This window comes from Homo sapiens, chromosome 12 (genome assembly GCF_000001405.40).
Source record: "Homo sapiens chromosome 12, GRCh38.p14 Primary Assembly".
Classification (NCBI taxonomy): Eukaryota; Metazoa; Chordata; class Mammalia; order Primates; family Hominidae; genus Homo; species Homo sapiens.
Window position 1 is genome coordinate 91,026,212 of NC_000012.12, and position 12,355 is coordinate 91,038,566.

Sequence of the window (12,355 nt, forward strand, 5' to 3'; positions counted from 1 at the left end):
TAGAGGATAACAAAAAAACAAAAATAGAATACAAGCAGATCATAAAGAGCAAAAAAGTCATAGACCTAAAATTAAACACATCAATTCCTTTAAATGTGAATCAACTAAACAATTAAAAAGCAAAGGCAGAGGTTATCAACGTAGATTTTTTCAAAAAAGGAGAAAATACTACATAATAACAAAAAAGAATGCACTATTGGCAAACTCACATTGAAGCTGAATTTTTTAAAAAAGCATTATACTGATTTAAAGAAGCCTTATTTTTATTAGTCTGTTTTACGTTGCTCTAAATAAATACCTAAGACTAGGTAGTTTATATAGAAAAGAGACTTCTTTGGCTCATGGTTCTGCAGGCTGTACAATCATGGCACTGCATCTGCTTAGCTTCTGGTGAGGCCTCAGGAAGATTTTAGTCATGGCAAAAGAGAAGGGGAAATGGTGTGTCATATGGCAAAAGAGGGAGCGAGAGAGAGAGACAGGGGAGAGTTGTCACACTCTTTTAAACAATTAGATCTCACACGAACTCATTACCACTTGTTACTGCAGGGAGGGCACCAAGCCATTCTATGAGGGATCCATCCCCATGACCCAATATCTCCCACTGGGCCCCACTTCCAAAATTGGAGGTCACATATCGACATGAGATTTGGAGGGGACACACATCTAAGTCATGTCACTTATACAATGGATATATATTCTATGATTATATTCATATCAAATTCTAGAATAGGCAAATTCTCTCAGTCTGTTTGAGTTACTATAGAAAATACTTGAGACTGGGTAATTTATAAACAACAGAAACTTATTTCTTATAGATCTGGAGGCTGAAAGTCCAAGATTAAGGTGTCTAGTGAGGGCCTTGTCTTTGTTTCCAAGATGGTGTTTTGTTGCTTCTTCCTCTAGAGGAGACAATTGCTGTGTCCTCACATGGCAGAAGAGATGGAAGGAGGTGAACTCACCCCCTCAAGCCCTTTTGTAAGGGTCTCGTCTCAACCATAAGGACTCCACTGTCATGATTTAATCACTTCCTAAAGCCCCACCTCTTAATATTACAGGTTGAGTATCCCTCAGCAAAAACTGTTAGGACCAGGAGTGTTTTGGATTTGGGATTTTTTTTCAATTTCAGAATATTTGCATATACATAACTGAGGATGGTACTGAATCTAAACACAAAATTTATGTTTCATATATACCTTATACATATAAACTGAAGGCAATTGATATAGTTTGGATATTTGTCCCTTCCGAATCTCATGTTGAAATGTGATCCCCATTGTGGAGGTAGGGCCTGGTGGCTGGTGTTTGGGTCATGGGGGCTGATCCTTCATGAACATCTTGGTGCTGTCCTCATGGTAGTGAGTGAATTCCCATTCTATTAGTTCCCACCAGATCTGACTGTTAAAAAGAGCCTGGCACCTCCTCTCCTCTGTCTTCCTCCTCTCACCATGCAATGCCTGCTTTCCTTTCCCTTCCATCGTAAGTGGAAGCGTACTGAGGCCTCCACCAGAAACAGATGCTGGTGTCATGCTTCTTGAACAACCTGCAGAACTGGGAGCTAAATAAACCCTTTTTCTTCATAAATTATTTAGTCTCAACTATTCATTTATAGAAATGCAAATGGACTAAGACAGTAATTTTATATAACACTTTTAATAATTTTGTGTATGAAACAGTGTTGACTGTGATCCATCACTTGAGGTTAGGCATCAAATTTTTTACTTGTGGCAATGTGTCAGCACTCAAAAAGTTTCAGATTTTGGAGAATTTCAAATTTCAAGTTTTCACATTAAGGATGCTCAGCCTGTATCACATTGACAATTGAGTTTTAACATACAAATTTTGGAGGATACTTTCAGACTATATCACAAATAAATCTATAATAGAAAAAATTAGAAGAGTGGGTGTTTATAGGAAATCAAGGGCAAGAGACTGGGAAGGCCAATGAAGGAAATTTCTGGGCTGTTGTTAATATTCTATATCCTAGTAAGAATTTGATACGCAGATGTATATGTGTGTTAAAATTCAGCAAATGCACACTAAAGGTTTACATATTTCATTGTATGCAGACTTTAAAACAAAAGGAAAAATACCCTAAACTATAGATAATACTATAATATATAACATATATCAATATATAGTTATTACATATGCTGATATAATAATAATATCAGTATACCCATATCTGAGATTTATTTTGAGAAGTGACAAAAAAATGAAGTGGTTGATGGATGGCTAAAAGAATTTACATATGATAAATATAAAAACAAGTAGGTTAGAATGTTAGTTCTGAAATCGTGGTGAATATATGAGTATTCAATGTAAAATTCTTTCAAATCTCTAGTATATCTGGAAACTTTTGAAGTAAAATGTCATAACACAGGCCAACATGAAATCTATAGGAGGATAAAATTTTGAAGCAATATTGATAAACTCAATGTCCAAATGCATTTTTGGTGAATTAAATTGATATGGAAAACAGAAATAAATATTAGGATTTAGAAAATTTGAAGAACAAAATTGTAACAGCTAGCTTTATCACAACAATGTTACATAACAACCCACTGAAAATTTCATATCTTAAAATATCAGTTATTTATTATCATGGATCTGAGGTTGCCTAGGACTCCTTCGGGTTGCTTTCGGTGTAATGGCTTTGCCCTACCTTGGACGGATAAGTTAGATGGAGTATGCTTATTTCATGAAAATGGAAAAAGTACAACAAAACAATTGGAAATTTGTGAGATTTCGTAAGGCCTAGCTCCAAACTGGCAGACTGTTACTTCTGCCCACATGAAATTCACCAAAGCAAATTATATGACCAAGGCCAAGATCACCTGACAAAGACATACACTCTTTTCATGATGAGGCCATGAAAAAGATGAAGACAAAGAGAGGGAAAGAGGATTGGAGCTAACTGTGGAGTCTACTACAAATACAACAACATAACAAACATAGAACATTGCACCCCAAATAGCAGAATACAGATTATTTTTAGTTTCATACATCATATTTACAAAAATTGATTATTTGTTGAGCTATAAGGCATGTCTGAAGACATTTTAAAGCACCAAAATCATGTGGAATATAGTCTCTGACTAGACGAAGTAAGCTACAAATCAACAACAAAACAATAACTAAGGCAATGAGAAATTAGAAAATACATTTCTAAATGACTCATGGCTCAAATGAAAATATTTTGAACTCAATTATAACAAAATACTATATATCAAAGCCCATGGAATGTAGCTAGTCATTAGTAGGAGGAAATTAGTAGCCTAAAGTGCATATATTTAACCTGAAGAAAAGATAAAATATCAAGGATGTAAATATTTATGTAAAGTGTTTAGATACAAGGCAGAAAAGTTCATCAAATGAAAGAAGGAAGAAAACAATGAGAATATAAAATTAAATAATAAAGTAGAAAACGAAAATAGAAAAAATCAAGAACACTTAATTTGGTATTTGAAAAACTGATCAAATTGGTAAATTTCTTATGAATTTGATCAAGAAAAAATGTGAGAAAGGAGACACAAGATGAAGGATGAAATGGAAAAAAAATTACAGTTCCCATAGATGTTCAAAAACTAAATGAGGATTTTTAAGCACATTTATGTCAATAAATTTTGTTCACATCTTTCATCATTTAGCTAAATAATTTTCTATGTATGGTTATGCTTCTATAAAAATGTTTAAAAATAAATAAAATAACAACCTTGATAAAGTAATAATTAGTGACCTTTACTGAATGCTGATTTTGTGTCAAAAATATTTCTAATGTTTTGATTGACACATATCTCATTTAATTCTCACTAAACCCCTATGAGGTAGGTAAATTTGTTATTTCTACATTAAAAATAAGAAACCTGAGGCATAGAGAGTTTAAGTAATTTGAGACTAATTTGACCTAAGTCACAGAACTAAGCAGAATATAAGCAATCAAAGAAAAAACAGCAAGACCACAGAAGAGCAGAGCTAAGGAAAGTGAAAACATAAAATAAAATCAGTACCTAAATGAAGACAAAGTGAAAGCAACACAAAGCAAAGCAAAATAAGTATGACAGATAACAATAAGGGACAGAGAGGAATGAGGAAAACAGATGTATTAATCTGTCACAAACAAAGGGAAGATCGTGATTCCATAAAAAAGACATTGTGAATTAAGCAAAGAGGTTGCATCAGTTAAGGATTCTAATATACTATATGTAAAATACGGTTTTTATGTGAAGCTGTAGTAACAAAATGCTTCACCATCTCTAACTTTCTGTTCATTTTACAAGCAGAAAAAAGATGGAAGCAACAAAACAATGGATATGGTGCCTATATCTGTAAATTTTAACATACTCTGAATGTTGTCTTCAATTTCCATCTCATTGGTCGGACATCACACAAGGAAACACTACTGCATTGAAAATTAGGAAATGTAGCAGGTGGCGGGTATTGGATAGAACATTGCCACACCAAAGAAAATTGCAATTCTCTTTGTACAGAAGGAGAGAATAGATATTGGAAAGAGTATTAACAGCCACACTTCAAGTTAAAGATAGAAGTTAGCAACATGGATGTCCCTGGTGATAAACAGTTCCAGTAATATGGTAGGATTAGGAGCCAAATTAGAGTTACTGGGGTTAAAGGAAGGGTAAAGAGAAGTGAAGAAGTGTCAAAAGCATGCGAGGACAAAATTTTCATGAAATTTTACTCTAAAGGAAAGAGTAACTAAAGAAAATCTGAAGTACTGGATGAGCTTTAAGCACTACACAGTTATATAGACATACAATGTTTCACTTTTATTTGTTTTGTTTATAATGTTTTGAATTAAAATTTGTTCCAAAATCTCAAAATATGTTTATATATTCTCAAATATGAACATTAATATGAACACAAATGTGTATATGCATAGACATTTCTGACTTCAGCTGCAAAATTTTCTATTTCTTAAATTGCAAAATTAGGGAAAGTATTCATGAAATGAAATAGAGATCATGACTTATACAAAAAACAATTTACCACAAATGTTACCTTTGAGAATATTAATACAGCAGTGGCCTGTGGCCTGCTTGTTGACTTGAAACCATGTGGTCTATTGGGGAATCACTTTTTATTTCTCATTTGTAGAAGGGAATATGTGATCCCTACGTGAGTATTTTGTAAATATTATGCCTAAGAAATGAAATGATGATGTGGCACTGCTGCTATTTTAAAAGATTTGTATTGAAAGTGGCAAATTTTTAAAAATTGGGAAAAGTTGATAGTGACAGTTGGAGTCTTCTGTTGCTGTTTCCCACTGAAGGTAAGGGCTGTGGAACATTTCAAACATGTGGACTAGAATTGGGAAGTAGGGTGAACTTTTTATGAACTTTCTGAAAAAACTGTGTTTAGACAAGTGTTTATGATCAGTAGGTAGATCAGTCCAACCATATCTTTTATTGTAAGGAATGCATGAAGAATATTTAGTTGAGGAAAAATAATTTCCTTTTAATTTTACTGAGAAATTCAGAATTATTGAATATTTAATTAATAACTTAGATTTCCAAGTTAAGCCTTTTCTAGATTTAAAGACAGAACAGAAGGAAACATTTGTTCTGTTTTGTGTTTTGTTTTTTGAATGTAATACTTTTTCTATGACTTGGCATTCAAATCGTGATGCCCCAATTGTTTTGCTGAAAATACTTAAAGATAAGAAGGTTAATTTTACCCAGTTGGTATCCTATTTTGTATTAAAACCAACTAATTAAATATTTTGTGTTTTACTCTTTATTTTTCTATGCATTATTCTTCTCCTGTGCAACAATACTCAGCATTAAGCTCAAGATGTTTATGAGTCCAATAAATATTAGCTTATTTGATTTAAATATTGACATATCTTTATTGAACACTAACATTTGAAGTTATAAGGTCATTCAGAAGTTTAATGCACATTGGAGTTTAGTAAAAAATAGTAATATAGTTATTCTGTATGAAATTCATTCCATCTCTTCCTATGTTTTAGTGGTCATTTTTGCATAAGGGTTATCTTTGGTTTCCATAAAAATTTATAATTCTGGAATTGTTTAATTTTATGGAATGAATCACAGTCAGTCCAGGAGTCCAAAATGTTCATTTTAAAGAGACAATTTGTTGGATCCAATTATCTTACCTCTCCAGTCCAGCTAATTATTAACCCTAATCAAGTAAAGCTACACACCATATTATCATATTTATAAAATGTCAATATCTTATAGCTGTAGTTGTAATAAGTATTAAGGCACCAATGTATAAACATATTAAACAGAAATTTGAAAAGAGTAATGATATATTTGGCATTTGTAATAGAAATATAACCAACTGACTTTATCTAAAATAATATTTATTCAACTAGATATGACAATAATGATATTGGCCAAGCCCAGAACAACTTGTAAGGGAAGCAGGTTCACTCAGGGCTTTTATGACAGTGAAAGCCTATGCCAAATTTTGTACAGTGGGAAACCACTCATAAGCAATGTCTAGTTTTGTACAGTGTGACTTCTCTATGCCTAGTTTTGTACAGTGTGACACCACTCATAAGCACTTATTACCAGACTATGACTGAATGTTGCATCCAAGAAAAGCATATCCACGAGAGACTATGAGGGTGCTCCATGGAAAATGCTCTGAACAGCAACATAATCGTTGTCAGAATCTGAGTTAGGTACTACAGTGTATGGTTGCTTTCTTTTCTTTTTGTTAATGTCTAATAATTATTTCCAGATCTTTTTCTAGATATAGAACAATCTTACTTATGAGAAACCTGTTGAATATGGTTCAGGAGGGCCTGAAACTGGTCCTGCCCCCACTACTACAGGTATGACACAAAGATTCGTTCAGAGATGGGCTCATAATATGTTATGTCCATCAGAATCCTCCTTGAGGATATTATATTGAAGCAATTGGAATATACATTCCCTTCCATCTAGGTCACTATATGAAATGCAGTTCTAGAACTGGTAGTGTCAATCTAGTCCATTACATGGAACAAACTTGTTTGAGACAGAGAAAGAGATTATTTAAGCCCCTGTTACAACTATTCCAGAATTCAATAATAAACTTTTACATATCAGTTCTGTACACCAATAAATTGTGGTTTCTGATAATGCTAATTTGCTCTGGGTTTCTATTAACTGTAACTGCATGTATCTCAATTAATCCAGAACCTTTATTCATAGGCAAAGTGATCTGAAGCTTAAAAGGCACAGAAACATGAGAAATCATAAGAAGCGCAAAGTGAGGAGGAAGCAGAAGCAATTCAGGAAATAAGTTGGTTTTGGGGAAGGAATGAAGAACAGATGTCTAGAGATAGTAGCTATAAATTAAAGGCTAACCAGTACTGAATTATCTAAATCTTCTTAGAATCTAGTTTCAGTCTTTGTGATGCCTTGTACAACTATGATTTTTCTTATTCTAAGTTTGCGTGCCTTAGTTTCATATTTCCTCACAATATATTCCCCATTGGATCCTTGTAATAAGCTACCCCTGACCTCACTGTTTGCAGCTAACTTGAAAAATTATATTTTACTTGCATCTACAAGGGATAAATTAAGATAAATTATTTCAAAATTTTTAACAAAATACTCAAAATTTCCATGCTATGAATTGGTGTCGGTTATAGAAACATTTCAAACAGAGAAATTGTCGTTTTTTCTGAAAAATTTTATTTGATGGCAATCTATAAACAATACATTTTACGTAAAAATTCTCAATCTTAACAACTAAATTTATATCAGCATTTTTGTTTACATATTCTTTAGTCAAAATGCTATGAGACAAACAAAATTTTCAATTTGACTCAAATTTATGACTGCTAAGGTAATATTATGTAAATCACAACTCAGAGTCTAGAGGCAGGCCATGCACCAAACTCTGTATGATATATCACTCAATAGTGCAACCAAAGGCTCAGAATATATACAAATACATTTTAAAAAACAATGTGAAATAAACAAGTACTTACAACATACAACTTACTGAAGACCACAAAAAAAGAGAAAGAAAAGAAAAAAGTGAAGAAATTGGATGTGTCCGAGGTACGGTTAAGTTGATATATAATACAAGCTGGAATTTTGCTGAGTTGGGAAGAGTAAGAAAGGAGACCCCGAAAGAAGGAATAACAGAGTAAAGAGCCCCACATCTGTACATGTATTCCACCAAAATTATTTTCTAACTACTGAACTGCACACATACAGGGGAAACTTCAGAGAACTTAGTGAAAAGCAACAGCTGGAAGACTGAGATAAATGCATAGTTTCAACTGATGCCCACTTCTAGAAAATCAGAATTTTGAGTCTGAATCAAGCAAGTTAATAATTTATTCTACTAGAATACAAAAAATCTTTTAAAAAAAGGTAAACTGCAGTCTCTACAATGTGTTATTAACAATATTCACGATGCAATGAAAAGGTAGTAGACAATGGAAAAAATAAATTGCAACCCATATTTAAGAGAAAAAGCAGTCAACAGAAACCAATGGTAAAATACCTTGAATATTAAAATTAAATTACAAAAACTTAAATAATTATAGATAAAAAAGTTTGAGAACTTGAGCAAAATATGGTCATAATAAATAGGTAGATAAGGGATCTCTGAAAAAAAAAAGACACTCTAGAAAATAGCCCAATGGAAATTTTCCAAATGAGCAAAACAATATGTAGTATTAAAAATGTTGCTATATATGGCAGAATAAATGGTTACGAAGTTTGAGAATATGTGAATTTTAAAAATATATCAGATTTGAATAGCAAAGACGGAGGAGAAGTTGGAAATAAAACAGTAGTCTCAGTGATTTTTGAGATTATATCAAGGGGTCTAAGATATTCATAACTGAAATCCGAGAAGGAAAGGAGAGAAATAACGAGTTGGGGAGATGTTTAGAGGACATAGTTGTGTCCTTGGGACACAATACCACAGGTTGGGTAGTTTAAGCAACAGAAATTTATTTTCTTACAATTTTAGAGACTAGAAGTACAAGATCAAGGTGCTGGCAGGTGAGGGTAGGTTTCTGTTGAGGCTTCTCTTCCTGACTTGTAGATGGCCATCTTCTTGCTGTGTCCTCACATATGGCCTCTTCTCTGTGCACGTGAGAGGAGAGAGAGAGAGAGAGAGATCTGTGTTGCTTCTGTCTCTGTCTCTCTTTTTTTTTTTCAAGGCCATCAGTCTTATTGAATTAAGGTCCCACACTATGACATTATTTAATCTTTATTACCTCCTTATAGTGCCTGTGTCCAAATATAGTTATATTGGGAGTTAGGGCTTTAACATATACATCTGGGGAGAATATAAATTAGTCCATAACAGAGGAAAGATGCCTGAAATTTTTTCTAAAGGTGGTGACAAACAGCTACCATCATATCAAAGATTCTCAGCAAACCCCGAGCAAGATACATACAAAACACACACACACACATACACACACAACTAGTTTTATTAAGTGATAAACTGTTAAAAATAAAAAATAAAGAGAATATCCTAAAAGAAGACAGAGGAAAATATGTCAGATTTGATATATTATCTATAGGGGATTAACAATACAAATAACAACAGACTTCTGATAAAAAACAATAGAGGTCAGCTGATAGCGGGGTGACATCTTTAAGTGCTGAAATGATGTCTACTATGAAGTTAATATACAGAAAAAAATAATTATCCAAAAATAAGGGAAGTAAGCCAGGCAGAAAAACACAAATATCACATGTTCTCACTCATATGTGGGAGCTAAAAAAAAAAATCAAACTCACCAAGATAGAGAATAGAATGATGGTCACCAGAGGCTGGGAAGGGTCATGGGGAGACAGGGATAAAATGAGGATAGTTAATGAGTACAAAAATACAGATTGATAGAATGAATAAGATCCTGGATTTGGTAGCACAATACCGTGACTACAGTTAACAGTAATTTATTATATATTTTAAAATAACTGAAAGAGTGAAATCGGAATGTTCCTAACAAAAAGAAGAGCTAAATACCTAATGTGACAATTACCCTGATTTTATCAGTACACAAAATATCACATGTACTTTATACATATATGTAACCATCATATACCCACAATAATTAAAAATAAATGTAAAATAAAAGTAAAATAAAGGCATTTTCAATAAATTTTCAAAACGAGTAGGTCGGCAGTGTTCAGTACTTCTAGAAGAAGTGCTAATACTTTTTTTCAGTCTGAAAGAAAAGTTTGAAGCTGCAGAAAGAAATGTGGCACATCATAAATGAAAAATATATACATAAGCATGCAACAATATTTTATTCTACTTATTTAAAATAATTATATATGACCCTAAAGCAAAAATTATAATGCTCTTCTGTGGGAATTATAACATATGTAGATGTAATATATGTGATAACAACACACAAAAAAATGGGGATAACTGGAACGATACCCTCTGAAGCAGGAATCTAGAGTTTAGACATGCTACACTTCACTTCCCCCATCTCTTTGATTGGTTTATACTGTATCACTGCTTCTCTTTGTAGTCTGTGAAAAAGTCATTCAACTTTCAAGTCATTTGACTCTATCCAATGTACCTTCCTGAGAATTTTTAGAGTAAACAAGTGCTGTAGGCTTCATTAACACCAATGATGTACTTGTTCCATTGTATTGTAACTACCATATATGACAATCCTCTGGAGACTCCTTGAGAACAGGCACTATAATTCCATTGTTCTGTGTACATGCTGTAGCTTTTACAAATATATCTACTTCCTGGAAGACACTAAATGTTCAATGACTAAAGAGATGATTAAATGAAGGAAAAAATGATTGAATGAAAATATGCATCATTGATTAAAAGAGAAATTAGCAAGAATAAAGAACTTTTAGGGAAAAGAAGCTAAGTTTGGGCATACCAAACTGGTGGTGCTTAAGTAGCAATCATGTCAAGATGTTACAAAAGCTCTGCAACATGGATTTGAATTTTAAGAGAAAGGCAGAATTTAGAGATATAGCTAGTGGTGATAATTGAGACTAATCGCATTACAGGAAAATAAAGTGCACAGAAAAGAAACACTCTTAGAAATCTCTTAAAAGTAACCTTCTTTTAGCTTTAATCATATGGCTGCTAACCTCTGGCAGCCTAAAACTCTATCCAAAATTTATGTATTTCATCCAGCAAAAAAGATTTTAACTATATAAACTATGGTTGTCAATGGAAAAAATGTTTTAATATGTTACAGAAGGCTTATTGCCTAACCAGACTTGCTCTGGCTCTTTATTTTCATAAGTTAACTTCCTACTGTTTAAAATGCAGCTTTCTCTCTCCATGAGTTCTTTATTATCTGCTTTCATGATTAACATCTGGCATCAATAATATGGTATTTTGGGAAACAATTTTAATCATAAGTCTTTCTTGAGGATCTGGGTTTGTTTGGGATTTTTTTTATTACTTACACATGCTATCATTCCTTTTCTTTCTTTCTTTTTAAAATTCAAAATTAAACATTGAGTAACTTTTTTCCAAACCTTGAGGTAATATTGCTTGTACTACATGAACTATAATGAACATTTGTGAGCTTGTCCAATTACTTTAACAGATGATTTGTCTTCTCCTGTGGAGAGATTTTGTTTTAGCAGTGATAATTTATTCACTTTACAGATGGTTTCCTGACATTGGAAAGACATTCTGTTTTCTATTTAATGAAAAAAGGTAAATGTGGACATGAAGATTTTGGGGCCCAAACTAGAAAGAGTAGAATTATTGGAAACCTCCTAAAAATGTATTCAATCAAATACCCTTGGAACTTAGAACTGGAAGAGCAGTTAGTTTCATCAGTGTTTCAAGCTCACCATTATTTAATAAAAAAAATTCTAAGGCCCAGACAGAAAGACTATTCCATTTTGCTATCAGCAAGTGGCAAGGCCAGAATGAGTTAAAACTCGGGTACCCTATTAAATTCTGTACTGTATCTACTACCGGGACAAATTTGCAATGCTATATACACATTAAAGCACATATTTTAACATGACATTTTTCAAACTATGCCTTCACCTCCAATTACTCTTGATGCAGTCATGTTCAACTGCCCATTTTATAGAGAAGAGAAATTGAATTGGTAACAATGGGAGTAATTATATAAAGTCCATAGCTTCCCCACCCCACACTGGATATTTCCAAGAGGTGTCCTACATAGTCTTTCAGACAGCCCCCACTGTGTTTCATCCTCAGTTGTTGAACGTGGTACATTCATTACCACATTCTTCATTAATTTTTCTGGCTTTTCTGCCTCAATTACCCCTTAATTTACTCCAGGGATAACTTATATTAGCTGTCCACACCTAAATCCTTGTCTCAGAATCTAATTTATGGATATATAAAATTAGGACAAAGGGAGAATTGGGAAGTA